Source organism: Homo sapiens, chromosome 17 (assembly GCF_000001405.40).
Source record: "Homo sapiens chromosome 17, GRCh38.p14 Primary Assembly".
NCBI lineage: Eukaryota > Metazoa > Chordata > Mammalia > Primates > Hominidae > Homo > Homo sapiens.
This window is the reverse complement of record NC_000017.11, coordinates 37,849,865-37,875,416: the sequence shown is the minus strand read 5'-3', so window position 1 is coordinate 37,875,416 and position 25,552 is coordinate 37,849,865. Positions and strand designations below refer to the sequence as shown.

The 25,552-nt window shown below is 40.6% G+C and overlaps 1 pseudogene across 1 annotated transcript in view; it reads left to right on the top strand.

Moving 5' to 3' along the window:
- YWHAEP7 (tyrosine 3-monooxygenase/tryptophan 5-monooxygenase activation protein epsilon pseudogene 7) overlaps window positions 1–25,552 on the top strand; it is a 41,795-nt pseudogene that overhangs the window by 9,327 nt on the left and 6,916 nt on the right. Inside the window, exons 3-5 of the transcript NR_024178.2 lie at window positions 1,104–1,213; window positions 20,188–20,294; window positions 20,909–21,014. The product of NR_024178.2 is annotated as a tyrosine 3-monooxygenase/tryptophan 5-monooxygenase activation protein epsilon pseudogene 7 (transcript). The remainder of the gene's footprint in view (window positions 1–1,103; window positions 1,214–20,187; window positions 20,295–20,908; window positions 21,015–25,552) is intronic.

Genomic DNA, 25,552 nt, shown 5'->3' with positions numbered 1-25,552 from the left:
GTACTGTTGGGCCTCTGAGTTTGTCAAAAGTACCCTTCAGGCCGGGCGTGGTGGCTCACGCCTGTAATCCCAGCACTTTGCGAGGCTGAGGTGGGCGAATCACCTGAGGTCAGGAGTTCGAGACCAGCCTGACCAACATGGAGAAACCCCACCCCTACTAAAAATACAAAATTAGCCGGGTGTGGTGGTGCATGCCTGTAATCCCAGCTACTGGGGAGGCTGAGGCAGGAGAATTGCTTGAACCCAGAAGGTGGAGTTTGCAGTGAGCCAAGATCGCGCCATTGCACTCCAGCCTGGGCAACAAGAGCGAGACTCTGTCTAAAAAAAAAAAAAAAAAAAAAAGAATTGTACCCTTCATCCTCACCACCGCTTTCTCTGAAATAGGCAAATGTTCCCTGGGCAAAAGTGGCCAAAAACTGTGCCTAGGACTTACATTCTTTTCCAGTTTTAGCCCAGAAATTCCTCACTATCACATCAGCTCCTTAATACCTTCAGTCAGGAGACTGAGGCAGGAGAATTGCTTGAACCCAGGAGGCGGAGGTTGCGGTGAGCCGAGATTGCGCCATTGCACTCCAGCCTGGGCAACAAGAGGGAAACTCCATCTCATAAAATATATATATTTAATACCAAATTTAAAACTTTTCCAATTAAAATAGTGAAATGATTGTTATTACTAATATTAAAAATATTGACACCGAGATAAAAATAATTTCATGTTAACATTTAAAATGATTAAGATTATTAAATTTTATCATAAGTATTAAACTTTTAAAAACTCCTTTTATAGTGGTTCTCATTAGTAGTGTTGATCTGAATATTTAGTCTGCCTGTATAAGAAGTGTTAGTGCCAACATCTGAATTTATAAATGTTTCCCTTTGTTTATGTTCCTGTACATCATAACTGGGGAAATGATTAAGAATGCTTTTTTTAGTAGTGGTTTGAGTATCCTCAAGCAATGGAAGTAAGACAGCAATGAGAATTTGTTAATGTCCTTGTTATGCATTTGTTTCAATAGACATTGTAGGGATCTGTTAAGGAAATTAATGATGTTAATTTGCTTTTGATAAAACTGAAAAGATGACATTTATTTATTTATTTTTAGGTTGGGCCCATGAGGTGTGTGCTCTGTATATTCCGGAGGTACAATTTGCCAATGATTCCACAATGGAACCAATTGTTTTACAGTCTGTTCCACATGATCATTGTAATAAGGTACAGTGGATATTATTTTATTACTGTTTGAATATCACTGCTGGGAAATAGAAAGGAAGTCTTTGTGTTTTTAAAATGATAGTTCTCCCCAACCTGGCTAATACGGTGAAACCCCGTCTCTACTAAAAATACAAAAATTAGCTGGGCGTGGTGGCGGGCGCCTGTAGTCCCAGCTATTCGGGAGGCTGAGGCAGGAGAATGGCGTGAACCTAGGAGGCAGAGCTTGCAGTGAGCCGAGAGCACACCACTGCACTCCAGCCTGGGCAACAGAGCGAGACTCTGTCTCAAAAAAAAAAAAAAAAATTGTAGGTCTCCATCAAGTTCAGGGAGATGTGGGAAAAAAATTACTACACCAAACTACAGTTATTAAAATGTTATTAATATGTTACTAAGGTCACAGGAGTACAAAGCAAGCAAAACTGTGTTACCTTTCATAGTAACCTAGGTATGTAGTATTCTACGATTTACAGGATATTTTAATCCTTACAGATTGGCCCTTTATGAATTACTGACCTCTTTTGCTCTTTCAGGTATCAAGAGTCTGTTAAATTTGAATTAATTATTATTTTGCATAATATTCATTACAATGTATCATATTCTTTTTTGAAAAACAGTCCTACATTAGAATGTTACTTGTCCCCCCCCTCAAGTTATTTGTACCCCAAGATACTGTTTTTATTGTTGGCCTTAAAAAAAAAACTTAATGTTTGCTTTTTTCCTGTATATTTTTCTTCATTTAGTATGTTATTGTTTTATTCTCCTCTGCATTTTAGGTTTCACCATTACCCAATGTGCCTTTAAATACAGTTTTACCACTTAATTGAAGGTTCACATTCCAACCGTGGAAGAAATTGCAGCCAGCTTTAAGATTTTAAATGTTTTTGTGCAAAAAAACTTTTTATTCTGTAATTAATATTTATTTTATTTTATTTTATTTTATTTTACTTTTTATTTATTTATTTTTTTTTGAGACAGAGTCTCACTCTGTCACCCAGGCTGGAATGCAGTGGCACGATCTCGGCTCACAGCAACCTCTGCCTCCCGGGTTCAAGCAATTCTCCTGCCTTAGCCTCCTGAGTAGCTGGGATTACAGGTGCCCACTATCACGCCCGACTAATTTTTCTATTTTTTAGTAGAGACGGGGTTTTTTCTGTGTATTTTTGCTTATAATATATACTTATGAAAAAGTTGAATTGTTTTGCTTATATTTTTTGTTTACTTTTGAAAATTACACAGCATCTTTTGTATGTCAATAAATTGTGTTTCTGCTGTATTTTAATAGATATTTAGTCTGTAATACAGAATATCATGAGATTCAACAAACTGTAAATTTAATTAAGCAACCCTTTGTGGTTGAAGGGCCTAGTTTGGTGTCTGGCATTTAGTATACACTGCTAGCATCTCTGTAAAAGTGTGTGAACATTTTGGAAGCTTCAAGAAATACACTGTGTGAAATTGTCCTCTAGAACTTACACTGTATTAGCTGTATGTGAGATTGCTCATAACCCTCTATTATGTTAGGTACACTGTGTTACTCTTAAAAAAACTTTGCTATTCTTTCTAGTAAAAAAAATATTAAAATGTTTGAATGAGTTTCTTTGAGTACTGGTAAGGTTGGTTATTTTAAAGTTTTTTTTTGAAGATTATTCATGTATGTTAATTGACCTTCCATATCTGTTTATTTTAATATTATAATTTTTTTACAAAGTGTTTTATATTAGAGATCATATTCTTTTGTCTTGTATATTTGCTGTGTGTGTTTTTTCCCATAGTTTAACGTTTGGTGTTTAATTTTATTATGTCTTCATAGTTTTTGTTATTGGGATTCTAGCAGGTTAACTTTTTCTAATGCAGAAGTTTACATTTTTGAGGTAATTTACGCAAATGCTCTTTATTGTTTCTGCCTTTGCTGTGCAAAGAAAATCTTCATATTAATGCACTTTTTTTTAGTGCTTTGGAAGTTCATTTTTAAAAACCTTGTTTTTCTTTTTAATTTTAAAAGCATTAAAACTTACAAACAGGTTGCAGGAATAGTACAAAAGAACTCTTCCTTCCCTAAACCATTTGAGAGTAACTTACCAATATAATATGCTGTCACCCCTGAATACTTCAGAATTTCCCATAAAGAAGGATATTCTCCTGGGCATATACAATATACCATCAAAATAAGGAAATTAACAGCGATGCATTATTCCTGTCTGATCTTTGGAACCCATTCGTGTTTTTGTAGACATATTCTTTATAGCAAAAGGATCACAAACTGCATTTTGACTCTTTGGTCTTTTTATTTCTTTTTCTTTTTATTTTTGTACAGAGTCTCTCTCTGTCACCCAGGCTGGAGTGCATTGGCGCAATCTTGGCTCACTGCAGCCTCCACCTCCTGGGTTCTAGTGATTCTCGTGCCTCAGCCTCCCGAGTAACTGGGATTACAGGTGTGCACCACCACGTCCAGCTGATTTTTTTCTGCTTTTAGTAAAGACAGGCTCTTGCCATGTTGGCCCAGCTGGTCTCGAACTCCTGGCCTCAAGTGATCTGCCTGCCTCAGCCTCCCAAACTGTTGGCATTACAGGTCTGAGCCACCACGCCCAGTCCTCTTTGGTCTTTTTAAATCTCAAATAGTAACTCAGTCTTTCCCTGAGTTTCATAACTTTGATACTTCTGAATATTACAGGTCAGTTATTTTGTAGAATGACCTCCTATTTGTATTTGCCTGATGTTTCATCATGATTAAATGCAGTTATGTTTTTAGCAGGAGTATCACATATGTGATTCTGTGTTTTTTGTTTGCATCCTATCAGGTGGTACATGATTTCAGTTTTTCCTTGACCACTTGGTTAAGGTGTGTCTATCAGGTTTCTCCACTGTGAGGTTAATCTTTTTTCTCTTTATAGTCAGTATGGATTTTGTGGGGGAAGTACTTCTCATATAAACATCTTGTTCCTTGCACCTTTTCCTCACTAATTTTAGTATTCATTGATGTTTCTTGACCTAATTTATGACTAGGATTGATGGCAAGTAGTGATTTTCTAATTTCACCTTTTCTTTCACATTCATCAGTTGATGTTCCACTGTAAGGTGAAGCTTTCTTTACTCCCTGATTATTTGTATTAGTATGGACTTACGCTATTTTATTTTAATGGGTCATATTCCACTAATATCATTTATTTTGATGTACATACTGTCTCAGGTTTGCCTGGTGGGACCTCTTTAAGCCGGCTTCTGTGTATTTTGACCTATCATTTCAGAGAAGCATTTCTCTACTTCTGACACAACAGTATAATCTAGGCTCATCTTGTATTATTCCTGCTGTAGTTCTGAAATCACCATTTCTCTGAAGAGCCTTGATTCCGTTTAGGTGAGAATAATATTTAGAAGCCAAAGCGGGTGCTAGGTGTGGGTTATTGCTACTCTCAGTCAGCATGGCTAGGAAATTTGTGTGTGTGTGTGTGTGTGTGTGTGTGTGTGTGTGTGTGTGTGTGTATTCCTACAGAGATACATATTTCTATAAATTCACATCGTATATTGTTTTTATATCTATGTAGAAAACTGTGGGCCAGGCGCGATGGCTCACACCTGTAATCCTAGCACTTTGGGAGGCCGAGGCCAGTGGGATGACTTGAGGTCCGGAGTTCGAAACCAGCCTGGCTAATGAAACCCCGTCTCTACTAAAAATACAAAAATTAGCCTGGCATGGTGGGGCACGCCTATAATCCCAGCTGCTTGGGAGGCTGAGGCATGACGAGAATCACTTGAGCCCTGGAGGCAGAGAGAGTGCAGTGAGCCAATATCACACCACTTCACTCCAGCCTGAATGACGGAGTGAGATTCTGTCTCAAAAAGAAAAAAAATGGGCTGGGCCCAGTGGCTCACGCCTCTAGTCCCAGAACGTTGGGAGGCTGAGGCAGGTGGATCATGAGGTCAGGAGTTCAAGACCAGCCTGGCCAAGATGGCGAAACCCCGTCTTTACTAAAAAATACAAAAATTAGTCAGGTGTGGTAGCAGGCACCTGTAATCCCAGCTATTCAGGAGGCTGAGGCAGGAGAATTGCTTGAACCCGGGAGGCGGAGGTTGCTGTGAGCCAAGATTGTGCCACTGCACCTCAGCCTGGGCGACAGAGCAAGACTCCATCTCAAAAAAAAAAAAAAATTAGCTAGGCATGGTGGTGGACGCCTGTAATCCCAGCTACTCAGGAAGCTGAGACAGGAGAATTGCTTGAACCTGGGAGTCGGAGGTTGCAGTGAACCGAGATTGTGCCACTGCACTCCAGCCTGGGTGACAGAATGAGACGCTGTCTCAAAAAAAAAGAGAACAAACTGTGAGGTCACAATACTTTTGATTCATTATGTGAATATACATACACACTCACATCTCTATTACTGTATCCATCTCTATATATTGAACTCCATATGCTCATATTAACTTTGCCAAATCCAACCCAACAAAACAGGGTTTCATTTTAATTTTTTCCCACGTATTTATGATGCTCAGACAGAAACCTGACTCTCACTATTTTTAATAGTTTACTTATTTGATCAATTTCTCCTGTTTTGACATACCTTCTGTTGCTGCTCCACCTAAGGCAGATGCTGTTCTAACCCAGTTCAGGGTTGCTGCTACTTTCCTGCATGCCAGTCCTTTTCACCCCTCTTGGGATTTGATATTCAGCCTCAGTTCACTGCTTCCACTTTTGTTGATCTTTTCACCTTGCTCTGAGATTGTCCTCACCCCTATCCCCAACCCCTTAGGGAAGCCAGCCTTACTCAGGCTCTTATACTAGTATTGGACTGCCCCCTCCAATATCCATGACCCCCTCATGGATAATTACTATGCTTGAACTCACCTCATGGCTTTTGGGTCTCATTTTGTCACCCAGGCTGGAGTGCAGTGGTGCAGTTTTGGCTCACTACAGCTTCGACCTCTGGCTCAAGCAGTCCTTCCACTTTAGCCCTCTAAGTAGATGGGACTACAAGGCGCACCCATCCCACCCAGCTAAGTTTTCCGTATTATCTGTAGAGTTGAGATTTCATCATGTTGCCCAGGCTGGTCTTGAACTCCTGAGCTCAAGTGAACTGCCTGCTCTGGCCTCCCAAAATGCTAGGATTACAGGCATGAGCCACCACGCCTATGCTAGGATTACAGGCATGAGCCACCACGCCTATGCTAGGATTACGGGCGTGAGCCACCATGCCTAGCCCCATCTCATGGCTTTAAGACTAAAGTGTTGAAGCAGAAAAGGAGCGAGGGTAGACCAAAGAAGGAATTATTTAGATATAAATATTTTATTAGCCTAGAATTAATTTTAGAATATGGTAAGATACGTGCCCAACTTTCCCCTCCCACCTGGTTAGTCAACTTTTTCAACACTATTGCTGAATAATCTGTTTTCCATTGTGATTTGAAATATTGTTTGAATCATTACTAAATTCTTGAATACTTGAGTATGTTTCTGGACTTTTTATGTGTTCCATTGGTGTGTCTGTTTTTATCCTGGTGCCACACTATTTTAAATTATTATAGCTTTATATACATTTTAGTATATGGTAAGACAAATATTGTCATCTATTTTTCTAGATGAACATTAGGACTAATAAGAGCACAATTTAGACTACATTAGAGTTACAGTGAAGTACTGTTTTAGGGATGAATATATTTTTACAGTATTGAATCCTTCCTTCCAGAAGCATGGTGTATCTGTTTATCAAGTTTATTTTTTTCTTCTTTCTATTTCTTTCCTTTTTATAGCTTTTCTTATATGCGATTGCTTTATGTTTGTTGGATTTTTGTTGTTGATGATTTGTTTTGTTCTACTTAGTGTTAGAATAGGCTCAGTGGCTCATGCCTATAGTCCTAGCACTTTGGGACGCCCAGGCAGGAGTATCGCTTGAGCCCAGAAGTTTGAGTCCAGCCTGGACAACAAGCGAGACCCTGTCTCTACAAAAAAGAATAAATTTAGCCAGGTGTGGGGAGGCACACGTGTCTGTAGTCCCAACTACTCAAGAGGCTGCGGTGGGAGGGTCCCTTGAGCCCAGAGGTTGAGGCTGCAGTGAACCGTGACTGTGCCCTGCACCCCCACCTGGGCAACAGAGCAAGACCCTGTCTCAAAAAAGAACAGCAAGCAAAGAAACACAAAACAAAAAAGAAAGTAAGTTAATGGACCGGGTGTGGTGGCTCACACCTATAATTTCAGTACTTTGGGAGGTTGAAGTGAGAGGATTGCTTGAGCCCAGGAGTACCAGACCAGCCTGGGCAACATTCTGAGACCCCACCTCTGCAAAAAAGAAAAACAATTAGCCGGGCATGGTGGTGCTCGCCTGTAGTCCCTCCCAACTACTCGAGAGGCTGAGGTGGGAGGATCTCTTGAGCCTGGGAGGTCAAGGCTGCAGTGAGCTATGATTGTGTGACTGTACTCCAGCCTAGGTAACAGAGTGAGACCCTGTTTCAAAAAAATAAAAAAAGTTAATAAGGTTTTGTTCATATAAATTCTTTATGCCTAATAATGGGGCATGCAATTCTGAAATGACAGGAATGATTGGAAAATGGGCTTGAAGACATCAGTCCTTAATGGATGGTAGGTAATAAAGGATAAGTTTGGGAACATTTATTTACTGGGCATTTACTATGGACCTACTTTGTATCAAGCATTCTGTTAGATACCAGGAATTCAAGGATAAATAAAATAGGGGGTTTCCTCCTCAAGTAGGAAGACAAGTCAATAAATGTATGAAAATTAAAATATATATTACATAATAATAAGGCTGAATGGAGTATTATGGGTAAATAATGAGAAATTATTCTTGTCTCAGGAATTGAGTAAGGCATACAAAGAGCTTCTAGGGCTTTGCAGAATAATTAGGCATTTGACCTTTGCAGAAAATGATCAACTAAAAATTCCAGACAGAGAAAGTGACGTAACCTAGGATAGCAGGTGCAAAGGGAAGAGGTGGCAGGTAGGCATGTTCAGAGAATAAGAAATACTCCTATGTGGCTAGAACATTGTGGAATTTAGAAAAAAATGAAATTTTGTGAGTACTGGGAAAAAATTTACTAGAATATCTTTATTGTATATCTAAATAGCAGAGAATTCACTGTATTGACCTGTTAAATTTTCTACATGTCGTTAAATATATAATGGCCAGTTTTAAAAATATTTATTTCTTTATTTCAGTAGGCTTTTGGGGAACAGGTGGTGTTTGGTTACATGACTAAGTTCTTTAGTGGTGATTGCTGAGATTTCGGTGTACCCATCACCCAAGCAGCGTACACTGTGCCCAGTGTGTAGTCTTCTATCTCTCACCGCATTCCCATCCTTTCCCCCAAGTCCCCAAAGTTCATTGTGTATCATTCTGATCCCTTTGTGTTCTCATAGCTTAACTTCCTTTTATTTATTTCTTTGTTTGTTTTTTTTTTTTTTTTTTTTTTTTTGAGACAGAGTCTTGCTCTGTCACCCAAGCTGTAGTGCAGTGGTTCACTCTTGGCTCACTGCAACTTCTACCTCCTGGGTTTAAGCAATTCTCATGCCTCGGCCTCCCAAGCCCAAGTAGCTGGGATTACAGGCATGCATCACCACTCCCGAATAGTTTTTTGTATTTTTAGTAGAGACAGGTTTTCGCCACGTTGATCAGGCTGGGCTTGAACTCCTGGCCTCAAGTGATCTGCCCACCTTGGCTGCCTCCCAAAGTTCTGGGATTACAGGTGTGAGCCAGTGCACCTGGTCTATTTATGTTTTATAGAAACAGGATCTCCCTATGTTGCCCAGGGTGGTCTCTAACTCTTGGTCTCAAGGAATCCTCCTATCTCAGCCTCTCAAAGTGCAGTCGTGAGCCAGCATCCCTGGCCAGTGGCCAGTTTTTGTAAAATTTAAATCATTGTATCCTATTTTTATATTTTTGACTGCTAATATTTTCTTCTGTAACATGCGTTAACTCATCATTTCACTGACATGTTTTGTTAAAATTACCTTTTAATAAGTTTTCAGAAATGTGAAGATTGTGGCAGCAAAGGGATTTGTGAACTTTTTTGGGGTAGAAGCTTGTATTCTTCAGAGTCAAGGAAGCATTCATTTTAGAAAGCTACAGTTTGCATAGAGAGTAGTTAGCAGATGATGACTATATCATATGTATATGTGTGTGTGTGTGTGTGTGTGTGTGTATATATATATATGCTTTTTTAATAGTCCTTCTTTATTGGATAGCCCTGAAGTAAAGATTGTTTATAAGCATAGGAAGGATGATCATAGGCCAGAGAAACAAACAAAAACATCAAAAAACATGATGTCATCTAATTGTAAGATTAAACCTAATGGAAGGCTTAGAAATTGCTAACCTGTCTCCCCCTTATTTTTTTCCAAAAGTAATAGTAGTGGATAGCAATTAAGTTTTTATCAGTATATTTAGCGTCTGTGTAAAAGATTTTTTTTTTTTTTTTGAGACGGAGTCTCGCTCTGTGGCCCATGCTGGAGTGCAGTGGCTCAATCTCGGCTCACTGCAATCTCCACCTCCCCAGGTTCAAGCGATTCTCCTGCCTCAACCTCCCAAGTAGCTGGGACTACAGGCCAGGATGGTCTTGATCTCCTGACCTCGTGATCCACCCACATTGGCCTCCCAAAGTGTTTGGATTACAGGCGTGAGCCACCGCGCCTGGCCAGGACTTTTTTTTTTTTTTTGAGATGGAGTCTCGTTCTGTCACCCAGGCTGGAGTGCGGTGCTGAGATCTTGGCTTACTGCAACCTCCGCCTCCCAGGTTCAAGCGATTCTCCTGCCTCAGCCCCCAAGTAGCTGGGATTACAGGCATCCACTACCACACCCAGCTAATTTTTTATTTTTTTAAGGCAGATTCTCACTCCCTCACTCGGGTTGGAGTGCAGTGGTGTGATCTTGGCCCAGTGCACCCTCTCTGCCTCCCAGGTTTAAGTGATTCTTGTCATGCCTCAGCCTCCTGAGTAGCTGGGATTATAGGCGGGACCACCATGCCCGGCTAACTTTTGTATTTTTAGTAGAGATGGGGTTTTGCTATGTTGGCCAGGCTGGGCTCGAACTCCTGACCTCAAGTGATCCAGTGGCCTTAGTCTCCCAAAATGCTGGGTTTACAGGTGTAAGCCACTGCACCTGGCCAAGTAAAAGATATTTTTGAAAGCACTAAATATTCTTTATGGGTTTTAGGACTCCCAAAAATGAGGTTTCAGGTAAATAGGGAAGCTAAACATTTCATCTACCTGCCCATTGATCTCGTCCTCATTTCTGGCATGTCCTCTTATATGTACCAGGTCTGTATGGTGGATAGACGTACATCAATCGGTGATTGTTAAAAAATAATATGTGCAAGGATTTTCGAGGTACAGTGAATGTCCACCTAACCTTTAACAGGACTAAGGAAAGAGGGAGGAGGTATCTTAGAAAAGGTCGCAGTTTTTCCTAAGAGTAAGAAACCTCCAGGTGCTGGCTGTGAAGAGAGGAGAAAGGAAGGAACACATGAGTGGCTGTTAATTTTACAGATTGAAGGAGCAAAAGCTTTGAAGTGGAAAATAACAAGGAGAGTGGTGAGCAGGGGGAGGGATTTGGGATGGTGGCAGGGAGAAGGGTGGTATTGTTAGGACCCTGAATGTGCCAGAATGCTGAGAGGGACTGTCAAGGGTCAGATGTTCAGGCACCTCATGCATCATGTTAAGGAGCCTAAAGTTTATCCCTAAAGTTATTGAAGGGTTTTTATGTTCAGAAAGGATATGCTTAGGTCTGTCATTCTAATGGATCAGGGGAAGGAGGATTGGGAGATGGAAGATAGACGAGACAAGAGACCTAGAATCTATTTAGACTCTGACAGTGTCCCAGACACTGGAATGAGGATCTGAAGTAGTAGGAACAACGGGACAGAGACATTCGGTAATATGTAAGAGCTTCAGCTGGTGTATGTAATATGTAAGAGCCTGGTGATCAGTTTAATGTGACAGAGAAGAGGGAGGAAGAAATATCAGAATGGGATTTCCATTTCAAGAATATAAGTACTAGGCTCATCACCACCACATGAGATAGAAAACATACACACACACACACACACACACACACACACACACACACACACACACACACACACACAGTGAGTTAATTGAAACATTTCTTAGAATGAAGATATAGACACTAAGTCTTAAATTCCTGGCTTACGTTCATGGAACATATTACCCTGCTTGTAAAACAAGTCTTGTGTCTACAAATTGTTCACTGGCATATATTAACAAGATGATAATAAGGCCCCCAGATATTCACATTTGTACGAAAGCATTGAATATATTTGCATTTGTCTATACCTAATAAATGTTTATTTTTGCTTGGCACTTTATACTAGTTACTTAGATGAGTGCTTAAATTAATTTTTCTTTTCTGGAGAATGGAATCATTTTGGAAAGCTAAATCTTGCAGTTCTATCGGTAAAAAAATTATTTTGCTCTTTTTTTATACATCAGCTGATTCTCATTTTGAAATTTCCTATTTGACTTCTCTCTGTTGTCTTTGCGTGCTCTCTCTCTCCAGCCCGCTCTCCCCAACCCTAGTTACACATTCTCTCACATTTGGTATTCTCTTTTTCTCAGGAATAGTAAACTATTATTCATTATATTTGTTTCTTGTGGTCTCTCCTCCCCTTCCCCTCCCCTCTTCTTTTTTTCCAACATGGTCTTACTGTTCCCCAGGCTGGAGTGCAGTGGTGCAATTACAGCTCACTGTAGCTTCGACCTCCCAGCCTCAAGTGATCCTCCCACCTCAGCCTCCTGAGTAGCTGGGACTACAGGCATGCACCATTCATGTCTGGCTACTTTTGTTTTTATTTTTTGTAGAGATGGGATCTCACTATGTTGCCTAGGCTGGTCTTGAACTCCTGGATTCAGACAACCCCCCTGCCCTGACCTCCCAAAGTGTTGGAATTACAAGCTTGAGCCACCATGCCTGGCCTCTTTGTGTCTTTTGTGCTTGTCAACTTTATATATTATTTGCTTTCTTACTCTCAACAATTCCAAGACTCAAAGGCCTATTTATTTGATAAGGACTGTGGAAGAATGGCACTATAATATCCCTCATTGTTATTTCTTTTCTCTTAGCTACCAAAGGCAGCAAACATTCCAATCTAAACTTTTGGAAATGGGAGTGTATAGTAGCTAACTTAAAATTGTTCATGAGATTAAAATCTATAATCTCACTTACCAACATTACCTATCTCAGTGCTTTTCTTTTTGTAATATTTATTTATTTAGAGACAGTCTTATTAGTCCATCACCCCAGGGTGGACTGCAGTGGACGATTATGGTTCACGATAGCCTCAAACTCCTGGCCTCAATCAATCCGTCCTCCCACCTCAGGCTCCCAAGTAGCTAGGAGTACAGGTGCCACCACCACACCCAGTTTTTTTTTTTAAATATTGATAGAATTGGTAGAGAGACAGCGTCTTGCTATATAACCCAGGCTGGTCATGAACTCCTGGCCTCAAGTTATCCTTCCAACTCAGCCTCCCAAAATGCTGGTATTACACTCAGCCACTATGCCTGGCCCTATCTCAGTATTTTTTTTTTAATGTTCATTTGGCTTCTGGAGTACTCTAGATGATAGGTATTTATATAATATAATCTGATAAGAAATTGATTAGGAGATTTTACAAAAACTGATACTTAAGGGGAGGATACATTGCTGGGAAACATGGTATCAAAATAAGACAGGTCAAATTTGAGAAATCTCTGATTCTACAGGTTACCCTACAGGTAACTGACTCAATGTCTCAGTCCTAAATTTCCAGGAGAGCCATTCTGATGTAAGCACCTGGATTTAGAAGCTGTTTTCACCTAGACAAACATGAGTACCTAGGCACCATTCCATTATTAGAAATTGAGCATAGATGCTAATTTCTAGAAAAGAGAGCTGGGTTGTCCAGGTGGGCAAGAAGTTGCAGTTTTGATCAGGCTGCTGCTGCTGGTAATTTTTTTCCAGTTACAAAGTTCCAGGATACACAGTTTGCCTCTTTCTCCCCTACCCCCTGCTGGCCCCCCCATTATAGGTCAAATTTATTTTTTTTTTAAAGTTGATAGCATTGACGTATCCTGGAATTGTGACCATTTAAATTCCCAGATAATACACCATGTGATCATCTTTTTATAGGGTTATGTCAAGAACCTTTTGTATGTACCACCTCTTCCCCACAGTGATGAAGAAACAAAGAATGCATGTTAGTTGCAAAAAGTCTGAGTGAAGTAGACTCCTAGATTAACGTGTCTTATGTGACACTAGGAGCATATAGATCATTTTTAAGGGCATATAAGTAACCGTGATGATTAATGTTTACAAATTGGTTTTAATTTTTTGAAACTGTTGTTGTGCCATGTAATCCATTATGGTTTTCTTCACACAAACATTTAAATGGAGTTTTTTCCTTTATCTAAACTCTTAACCAAAAAATTTTTTTCTTTTGTTTTGAGATGGAGTCTCACTCTGTTGCCCAGGCTGGAGTGCAGTGGTGCAATCTTGGCTCACTACAACCTCCTCCCCGCGAGTTCAAGCCACTCTCCTGTCTCAGCCTCCCGAGTAGCTAGGATTATAGGTGTCTACCACCATACTCAGCTAATTTTTTTTTTGTATTTTTAGTAGAGGCGGGGTTTCACCATGTTGGCCAGGCTGGTCTCGAATTCCTGATATCAGGTGATTTGCCCACCTTGGCCTCTGAAAGTGCTGGGATTACAGGTGCGAGCCGCTGTGCTGGCATTGATCGATTTCTTTTATACCTGATATAAAGAACAGCTTTGGGGCCTATTTCCAACTTTATTCCACTGTTTTCTAATTTGTTTGCTTCTGCTTTTTAAAGCTTTAATACTTACTCTACTTATTATGACATTGTTTTGTTTATTAAGAATTTATTTCTGAGCCAGGCGCAGTGGCTCACGCCTGTAATCCCAGCACTTTGAGAGGCCAAGATGGGCGGATCACAAGGTCAGGAGATCGAGACCATCCTGGCTAACATGGTGAAACTCTGTCTCTACTAAAAATACAAAAAAATTAGCCAGGCATAGTGGTGGGTGCCTATAGTCCCAGCTACTTGGGAGGCTGAGGCAGGAGAATGGTGTGAACCCAGGAGGCGGAGCTTGCAGTGAGCCGAGATCACACCACTGCACTCCAGCCTGAGCCACAAAGCGAGACTCCATCTCAAAAAAAAAAAAAAAGAATTTATTTCTGAAATTGTCAAATATATAAAACAGTAAACAACAATATAACAAACACCCTGCGTACATTCATCAACCGATTCTAAAACATGAACAGCTCATAGCCAATTCTTCATACACCCCCTGTAGTAGTTTCCTAGGGCTGCTGTAACAAAATATCACAAACTGGGTGGCTTAAAGCAGCAGAAATTTCTTCTCACGATTAAGGAGGCTACAAGTCTGAAGTCAAGATATCAGCTGGGTTGCATCCTTCTGAGAACTATTAAGGGAAATCTCTTCCATGCCTCCTAGCTTCTGGTGATGGGTGTCAATGATTGGCACGTTTTTTTTTTTTTTTTAATCACCCTAATCTCTGCTTCTGTCTTCACATTCCATTCTTCCTTTGTCTCTGTCTCCATATGGCCATCTTCTTATTAGGAGATCAGTCATATTGGATTAGGGGCCTGCCCTACTCCATCATGTGACCTCATCCTAATTACATTTGCAATGATCCTTTTTCCAAATGAAGTTACTCTCTAAGATACTGGGGGTTAAGGACTTCACATACATTTCTTGGGGACCACAATTCAACCCATAGCAGTCTGCCTTCTGGTCCCCCCAGAATTTGTGTTCTTTCCACATACAGAATAGATGTGCTGTATCCCAGTATCCCCCAAAAGTGTTAATCTATTTTGATGTAAACTCTATAAGTAAGTCTCACATCTTACCTGAATAGAATAAACTCAGAAAGTCCCAAATCTCAACTTCTGAATCATCTGAATTGGCGATGGGTTAAGACGTTGGTTAATCCTGAAGCAAAATTTCTATCTCTGCTGGGCATGGTGGCTCACGCCTGTAATCTCAGCACTTTAGGAGGCTGAGGCAGGCAGCTTACCTGAGGTCAGGAGTTGAAGACCAGCCTGGCTAACACAGTAAAACCCTGTCTCTACTAAAAATACAAAAAGTAGCCGGGTGTGGTGGCACATGCCTGTAGTCCCAGCTACTCGGGAGGCTGAGGCAGGAGAGCTGCTTGAACCTGGGAGGCAGAGGTTGCAGTGAGCTGAGATTGCGCCATTGCACTCCAGCCTGGGTGGCCAGAGTGAGACTCTGTCTTAAAAAAAAGAGAAAAAAAAATCCTTCTATTTCTAAACCTGTGATACATAGAAAACAAGTTATCTGTTTCTGAGATGCAATGGTGGGACAGGCAGAGAAGCATTCCCATTCCAAAAGAGATAAATTGGAAGGAAAAAGGGCTTAAAGCAGGTTTATAAGTCTGCAGGACTAATTCCATTCAGTTCTGAGACTTGAAAATAGTTCTCTGTGGCTTGATATTCTGTTCTCTAGGCCCACTGGCATGGCCTTACCCCTTGGTCCTGGGTTGGCAGCCTGCCCTTTTTTTTTTTCTTATGACTACTTAGTTCCTGTTTTGTTTTGTTTTGTTTTTCTACCTTTTTAATCTTAAGTACAGATGCTTCTTGAGTTATGAGCAGATTACATTCTGGTAAGGCAAGAGGATTATTTGAGCCCAGGATTTTGAGGCTTTAGTGCGTGATTATTGCACCTGTGAACAGCCACTTCACTGCAGCCTAGGCAATATAGTGAGACCCCATCTCTTTAAAAAAAGAAAAGAAAGAAATATACCTTATTTATCTAACACCTTGGCTTAGCCTAGCCTACATTAAACATGCTCAGAACACTTACATTAGCCTACAATTGGGAAAAAATCATCTGGCTACATGGTTCACTGGTCAAGCAAGCATTGGTTGTTTAGTCTCATGATGGTGTGGCTGACTGGGAGTTGTGTCTTGCTGCCGCTGCCCTTTTATTTTATTTTTGAGATAGGGTCTTGCTCTGTCACCCTGTCTGGAGTGCAGTGGCACTGTCATGGTCACTGCAACATCAACCTCCCAGGTTCAAGTGATCCTCCCTGCTCAGCCTCACAAGCAGCAGGGACTACTGCCACGTTGTCAGGGGAAATTCAGCCCATGATATTTCACATGAGTTCTTTTCTATTTTCCCTAAATGTCAGCCGGTCTGAGAAATAAAGGGAAACAGTACAAAAGAGAGAAATTTTAAAGCTGGGTGTCCGGGGGAGACATCCGATGTCGGCAGGTTCCGTGATGCCCCCTAAGCTGCAAAACCAGCAAGTTGTTATGAGTGACTTTCAAAAGGGGAGGGAGTGTACGAATAAGGTGTGGGTCACAGACATCACATGCTTCACAAGGTAATACAATATCACAAGGCAAATGGAGGCAGGGCGAGATCACAGGACCGGGGTGAAATTAAAATTGCTAATGAAGTTTCGGGCACACATTGTCATTGATAACATCTTATCAGGAGACAGGGTTTGAGAGCAGACAACCAGTCTGACCAAAATTTATAAGGCGGGAATTTCCTTGTCCTAATAAGCCTGGGAGCGCTGCGGAAGACTGGGGCTTATTTCATCCCTTATCAACAACAATAAAAGACAAACGTTCCCAAAACGGCCATTTTAGAGACCCCCCCCTTAGGAATGCATTCTCTTTCTCAGGGATGCTCCTTGCTGAGAAAAAGAATTCAGCAATATTTCTCCTATTTGCTTTTGAAAGAAGAGAAATATGGCTCTCTTCCGCCCGGCCCACAGGCCGCCAGACTTTAAGGTTATCTCCTTTGTTCCCTGAACATCGCTGTTATCCTGTTCTTTTTTCAAGGTGCCCAGATTTCATACAGTTCAAACACACGTGCTCTACCAACAATTTGTGCAGTTAACACAACCATCACAGGGTCCTGAGGCAACATTCATCCTCAGTTTACGAAGATGACAGGATTAAGAGATTAAGTAAAGACAGGCATAGGAAATCACAAGAGTATTGATTGGGGAAGTGATAAATGTCCATTAAATCTTCACAATTTATGTTCAGAGATTGCAGTAAAGACAGGCGTAAGAAATTATAAAAGTATTAATTTGGGGAACTAATAAATGTCCATGAAATCTTCACAATTTATGTTCTTCTGCCATGGCTTCAGCCGGTCCCTCCGTTCGGGGTCCCTGAATTCCCGCAACAACATGCCATCATGCCTAAGTTTTTTCTTGTTTGCAGTGACGGGTTATGTTGCCCAGGCTGGTGTCAAACTCCTGGGCTCAAGCTATCCTCCTGCTTCAGTCTCCCAAAGTGCTGGGAAGTACAGGTGTTTGGCTCACTGGCCTGGCCTTCTTTATGATTTTTAAAACGATTTTTCTTGGGTTATTTTCTTAGTGGTTGTTGTAGGGCTTACTATCTTTATCTTGCTAGACTGTACTTAATTGTAGTAAGATGTATAAGCATATCTTTTTTTTCTTAAGCATATCTCATTTTATTGGGCTCCTATTTATTGTACTTGACAGGAATTGCATGGTTTTTTTTTTTTTTTTACCAAATTGAAGGTTTGTGGCAACCCTGGAGTAAGCAAGTCTATCAGTTTCATTTTTCCAACAGCATGTGCTCACTTAGTGGCTCTTTGTCCCTTTTTAAAATTCTCATAATATTTCACACATTTTCATTATTATATCTGTTATGGTTATGTATGATCAGTGACCTTTGATATTACTATGAGGTGAAGTTAATAAATGTTGTAAGTGTTCTGACTGCTGTACTAGCTGGCTGTTCCCTCATCTCTCTCTACTCTCCTCAGGCCTCCCTATTCCTTAAGACACAGCAATATTGAATGTAGGCCAATTAGTAACCCTTTGACAATGCACATAGTCACCTAGGAGCTCTGATGAAGATGTATAAGAAAATGTTCTTTTCGTGCCTGCTAACACAACATCCATCCTGCAGTCCGTGGATCCAGGAGACAATTTGATATAAAAGTCTTATTATTTAAGAAATACATTTTGAAAGGCTATGGCTGCTATATAGAGGGTGATTCCTCTGATGGATCTGGGCAAAGTACATTGAAAACTTTCTGGAAAGAATTCACCATTCTAGGTACCATTAAGAACATTTGTGTTTTATGGGAGGAGGTCAAAATATCAACATGAACGGGAATTTGAAAAGAAGTTGATTCTGTCCTTCATGGATGACTGAGAGATTCAAGACTTTGATGGAGGCTGCAGATGTGGTGGCCAGTAGCAAGAGAGCTAGAATTAGAAGTGGAGCCTGAAGATGTGACTGAATTGCTGCAATCTCATGGTCAAACTTGAAAGAATGTCTTCTCATAGATGAACAAAGAAAGTGCTTTCCTGAGATGGAATCTATTTCCTGTGAAGATGGTGTAAACATTGTTGAAATGACAACAAAGGATGTAGAATATGCCCTATACTTAGTTGATAAAGTGGCAGCAAGGTTTCAGAGAATTGGCCCCAATTTTGAAGAGAGTTTTACTGTAGGTAAAATGCTGTCAAACAGCAGCACATGCTACAGAGCAGTGTTTTATGAAAGGAAGAGTCAATTGATGTAGCCACTTTTATTGTTATTTTAAAAAAGGGCTGGAAGTTCATTAATCACAACCTTTTCAAAGACAGTAGGATTGCTTGAAGCCAGGAGTTTGAGACCACCCAGGGCAACAAAGCAAGACCTTGTCTCTACTAAAAACAAAACAAAACAAAACAAAAACAGTGAAGTGAAAGTGCCACAACCACCACCTCAGTGAGTCAGAAGCCATCAACACTGAGGCAGGACTTTTTACCTGCAAAAAGATAAAGACTTGCAGAAAGCAGTTTTCTCCTGTAAAGCTCCATTGCCCTCTTCCCCCTTTTGCTGTTATTAGAATAAACATCATATATGAAATCACGCCACTGCACTCTAGCCTGGGCAGCAGAGTGAGACTCCTGTCTCAAAAAAAAAAAAAAAAAAAAAACCCAGGCTGGGTGCAGTGGCTCATGCCTGTAATCTCAGCACTTTGGGAGGCCGAGGTGGGAGGATCACGGGGACAGGAGATCGAGGCCATCTTGGCTAACATGGTGAAACCCTGTCTCTACTAAAAATACAAAAAAAAAAAAAAAAAAAATAGCCGGGCATGGTGGTGGCGCCTGTAGTCCCAGCTACTCGGGAGGCTGAGGCAGGAGAATGGTGTGAACCCGGGAGGCAGAGCTTGCAGTAAGCTGAGATGGTGCCATTGCACTCCAGCCTGAGGGACAAAGCAAAACTCCGTCTCAAAAAAAAAAAAAAAAAAGGAAGCAAGCTGGGTATGTGCGTTTAGAGGTGCTGTACATTTTCAGCATTATAAATGAATAGAGATGAGTGGCAGTAGTTTTTTTGGTCCATAGATTTTTGGTATCTTAACTAGTTTTGGTCTCTTCCACTAAAGGGATTGCCTGTTCAACGTTGTTAGGAATGTAAGTACTGAAGGCAAATTGCCTGGGTTTGAATTTTGTTCTGTCCCTTGCACCCTGCCTGGTTTCAAATCCTAGCTCTGCTTATTAAGTTCTTTTAAGGTGATGATCTTTGAGCAAATGTCTTAGGTTCTGCTTTCCCAGTAAATGGATACAATAGTTGCTACCTTGTGAAAGATTCATGTAATTGACCAGCGTTTACCAAGTAGCATCAGTGTTTAGTTTCAGTCATTGGTGATTCTGCAGTTGGACTGTGAGGGGGTATTGGGGTGGGGGGTGGTGTGTGTGTAGCACTTAATTGCAGGCAGGAAGGAAAAGATACTTTTGATAACCGACAGGCAGCTTTTCTCTGCTTTTGTGTCAAAAGGGAGGAAGGGAGTTTGGAGAGGGAAATGAATTCTCTGTAACACTAAGCTCTCTTCCTCAAAACCAGAGGTAGATAGAATGTGTAATAAATTTACAGAATTTCTAGACTGAAACAGTCTGATTTTTTAAAATTTATCTTTATTTTTTCAGGTTGAGACTGAGCTAAAGTTAATCTGCGGCGATGTTCTGGATGCACTGGACAAACACCTCATTCCAGCAGCTACCACTGGCAAGTCCAAGGTTTTCTATTATGAAATGTAGGTTCTATACTAGAAAGGAAAATGTAAGATTAAAAGTTGGCCTTTTTAGAATCATGACTTTCTTCTATGTAGGTTTCCAACTTTTATTTACAAATAATTGTTTAATGTTAGAAGGATAGTTGATGTTGGAATAAAAAGATGGTCAGGCTATTATAAAAATGCATTAGCTTTTGCTTTACTTATTTATATTGTTTTGCTTTCATGGGACCTATCTCATTCCCCTCCCCTAAATGGCCACATATTGCACAGTGCTGGCTGAATGTTTCATGTAGAAATTTTATTTTATGATTAATACACTTGTGCCATTTCTTGGAACCACTTGCTTGTTTAATTCTAGTCTATCAAGCGATAGTTTTGCTGATATTTAGAGGCTCCTCAGTTAATCTCTGTGGGATTTTTGGTTACATTTAATAAGGAAAATAGTATGAAATGTCTAAGAAAAAAATGAAATGAAGCCAAATATTCCTGAGTGTTTAAAATTATTGAAGTACACTTGTTAATTGTTACGTATATTTTTTGTCACATATTTTATATTATATAGAACAATTTTAGCTCTTTTACTTTAAAAATCATTGTTCCTGGTTTAATTTTTTTTTTTAATTTTGCTGTAGGAAAGGGGTCTACCACAGGTATCTGGCAGAATTTGCCACAGGAAATGACAGGAAGGAGGTGGCAGAGAACAGCTTGGTGGCTTACAAAGCTGCTAGTGATATTGCAGTAAGAGAACTTTCACCAATGCATCCCATTCATTTATGTCTTGCTCTCAATTTTTCCATATTCTCCTGTGAAATTCTGAATTTCCCTGACCCTGCCTTCAGGTAAGATGTGGGGAAGAACACAAGCTGTCAGTGTGAAAGTGAAGAAGGATAGCCATTTGAGTGTTCCGTCTTGTTTCTTGGGACTGCCTTTGTAGGCCTGGCTGCGTAGTAATTCCTAGGCTCTTAGTTGAAGCTGCTTTGTATTAAAACAGACCTATCTCAACCCAGTAGCTTAGCAGTCAGGATAATTATTTTGATGTGGCATATTGTTGTTGTTAGTAGACTGAAAAGAAATCTAACATGTTAATATAACTAGAGGAAGGAAATGAGAGAAAATTATAATAGAATTATCTTAATTTTTGTATATTAGTGTTCAGTCTTTGTGGGCATGTTTTTAATAGTTATTCTCCTAGCAAACATCATTTTATATTTTCTGTTTTAGCATAAACAAGTTTCATTCTTACTGATGTGTGTTAAATTGTTCCCCCTTTTATACTTCAGCTTGTTCCCAGTTTTTGATAATGTAGATACAAATTTAAGGAATATTTATATGTATATAACTTTTTACTTTTAAAAAGTTGTGACAAAATATACATAAAGTTTATCATTATAGCCATTTTGAAATGTACAGTTCAGTGGCACCAAGTACATCAATAGTGTTGTGTAAACACCACCACTATGTGAAAACTTTTTCTTCACTCACACAAAACAAACTATAGCCATTAAACAATAACTCTTCATTTCCCCCTCCCCAGCTGCCAGTAACCTCTATTTTACTTTGTCCCTATGAATTGGCCCATTTTAGATACCTCATAGAAGAGGGATCATATAATATTTGTGCCTTGTGGCTGTCTTTATTTCAGTTAGCATAATGCTTTCAATGTTTTGTTAATATTAAGCGTGGATCAGAGCTTCAGTCCTTTTTATGACTGAATAATAATCCATTTTATGTATTTTTCACACATCGTTTAGCCATTGAACTTTTGATGGACAGTGAGTTTCTTTTCACCTTTTCCTATTGTGTGACTAATGGTGCTATGAACATTGGTGCACTATTTGCTTGAGTTCTTGTTTCAATTCCACCTGGGAGTGGAAGTGGAACAGATAATTACTTTCTTTTAAGACACAGGATCTTATTCTGTCCTTGCAGTGGTGCAATCATAGCTCACTGCAGCCTTAACTTCCTGGACTCAGGTGATTCTCCTGCCTGAGCCTCCCAAGTAGCTGGCACTAGAGGCTCGTGCCACCATGCCTGGCTCATTTTTAATTTTTTTTTGTAGAGGCAGGGTCTCGCTATGTTGTCTAGGCTGGTCTTGAACTCCTGGCCCAAAGTGATCCTCCTGCCTCAGCCTCCCAAAATGCTGGCACTACAGGTATGAGCCACTGCACCTGGCCTTTTTGCCCATTTTTGAATTTGTTTTTTTGTTTGAGTGTTTGGAGTTCTTTATCTATCCCAGATAGTAATCTCTTTGTGAGTATTTTCTCCTGTTTGGTAGGCTGTCATTTTGCTTTGTTGATATTGCTTTTTGTTTTTTTCTTTTTGAGATGGAGTCTCACTCTGTCTCCCAGGCTGGAGTGCAGTGGTGCGATCTCGGCTCACTGCAACCTCTGCCTCCTGGGTTCAAGCGATTCTTCTGCCTCAGCCTCCCAAGTAGCTGGTACTACAGGTGCGTGCCACCTCACCTGGCTGATTTTTTTTTTTTGTATTTTTAGTAGATGGGGTTTCACTGTGTTGGCCAGGCTGGTCTCGAACTCCTGGACTGAAGCTATCAGCTTGACCTCACCTCCCAAAGTGCTGGGATTATAGGCATGAGCCACTGCACCTGGCCAAGAAGAAAAATTATCTCTGTTTGCCCATTGATTTTCTATGTAGAGAACCATAAAGATTCTACAAAAAATTGTTAGAGCAAATAAACCAATTCAGCAAAGCGCAAAAATCAGTTGCATTTATATACGATAGCAATAAACAGTCCAGAGAAAAGAAAATCATTGTAATAGCATCAAAAAGAATAAGGCACTTTACAATAAATTTATCCAAGAAGGTGAAAGACTCACACACTGAAAATGATAAAACCTTGCTGAAAGTAATTAAAGAAGACATAAATAAATGAAAGACATCCTATGTTTATGAAGGAAGACTTAATATTATTATGATGTGTCAAGACTATCCAAAGCAATCTACAGATTCAATGTAATCGTTCTGAATATTCCAATGGCATGTTTGATTTTCTTTCTGAAATAGAAAACTCGTTCTAAACCTCATAGGGAATTTCAAGGCACCCTCCCTGAATAATCAAAACAATTGTGAAAAAGAAGAAGAGTTGGAGAACTTGGCCGGGCGTAGTGGCTCACGCCTGTAATCCCAGCACTTTGGGAGGCCAAGGCAGGTGGATCACAAGGTCAGGAGATCGAGACCATCCTGGCTAACACAGTGAAACCTCGTTTCTACTAAAAATACAAAAAAATTTGCCAGGCGTGGTGGTGGGCACCTGTAGTCCCAGCTAGTCAGGAGGCTGAGGCAGGAGAATGGCGTGAACCCGGGAGGCAGAGCTTTCAGTGAGCTGAGATCATGCCACTGCACTCTACCTGGGCAACAGTGAGACTCCTGTCTCAAAAAAACAAAACAGGCTGGGTGCAGTGGCTCACACCTGTAATCCCAGCACTTTGGGAGGCCCAGGTGGGTGCATCTCTTGAGGTCAGGAGTTCGAGACCAGCCTGGCCAACATGGTGAAACTCCATCTCTATTACAAATACAAAATAGCTGGGCATGGTGGCGTGCACCTGTAATTCCAGCTACTCGGGAGGCTGAGGCAGGAGAGTCACTTGAACCCAGGAGGCAGAGGTTGTAGTGAGCCAAGATCACGCCGCTGCATTCCAGCCTGGGTGACAGAGTGAGACTCTGTTTCAAAAAAAAAAAAAAAGGAAAAGAAAAACCAAAAACTGTGATACTAGCATAAGGACAGATATCTAGATCAATGGGGTGAAATAGAGGGCCCAGAAACAAACCCTCACGTCAGTGGTCAGTTGAGTTTTGAAAAGGGTGCCAAGATGTGCTGGGCACAGTGGCTCACACCAGTAATCCTAATACTTTGGGAGGCTGAGGCAGGAGGATCACTTGTGGTCAGGAGTTTGAGACCACCCTGGCCAATATGGCAAAACCTTGTCTTTACCAAAAATACAAAAATTAGCCAGGCGTGGCGGCGCATGCCTGTAATCCTAGATACTCGAGAAGCTGAGGCACGAGAATCACTTGAAGCTGGAAGGTTCAAGTTGCAGTGAGCCGAGATTATTCCACTGCACTCCAGCCTGGGTGACAGAGTGAGACTCTTGAGAAAGAAAGAGAGAGAGTTGAGGTTGCAGTGAGCCAAGATCACTCCACTGTACTTCAGCCCGGGTGACAAAGTGAGACGAGAGAGAGAGAGAGAGAGATAGAAAGACAGAGAAAGAGAGAAGGAAAGAGAGAAGGAAGGAAGGGAGGGAGGGAGGAAATAGACAGAGAAAAGAAAAGAAAGAAAGGAAAGAGAGATGTGCCAAGACCATTTAATGGGGGGAAAAACAATCTTTTCAATAAACAGTGCTGAGAAAACTGAGTATATGTAAAAGAATGAAGTAGGACTCTTACCATACACCATATATAAATTTAACTCAAAATGGATCAAAAACATAGGAGCTAAAATCATGAAACTCTTAGAAGAAAACATAGGGGAAACCCTTGAAAACATGGGATTCAGCAATGTTTTCTTGGATATAACACCCAAAGCACAGGCAACACAAGAAAATAGATAAATTGATCTTCATCAGTTGAAGAACTTTCATCAAAAAACACTATGAAGAGAGTGACAAGAGGCCAGGTGTGGTGGCTCATGCCTGTAAATCCCAGCATTTTGGAATGCCAAGGTGGGAAGATCAGTTGTTCCCAGGAGTTTTGAGACCAGCCTGGGCAACACAGGGAGACCCCCATCTCTATAAATAAAAAAAAATAAAAAATAAAAAATTAGCTGGGCATGGTGGCATGTGCCTGTAGTCCCAGCTACTTGGGAGGCTGAGGTGGGAGGACCACTTGAGCCCAAGAGGTCGAGGCTGCAGTGAGCCATGATTACACCACCGCACTCCAACATGGGTGACAGAGTGAGACCCTATCTCAAAAGAAAAGACCAAAAAAAGTGTGAAAAGACAACTGACAGAATGAGAGAAGATATTTGCAAATTGTATGTATAATGAGGGATTAATATCTAGAACATATTAAAAAAACTCCTACAACTCAACAATTACAAAAACAAGGAAGCCAATTCAAAACTGGGCAAAAGGCTTAGACATTTCCCCAAAGAAGACAAGCACACATGAAAAGAAGCTCCACATCACTGATCACACCAGGGCGGTGGCTCATGGTGGAGGGAGAATGGTTTGAATCCAGGAATTTGAGACCAGCTTGGGCAACATAGTGAGATCCCATCTTTACAAAAAGTAAAATAAAACTCAGCCAGGCATGGTGGTGCA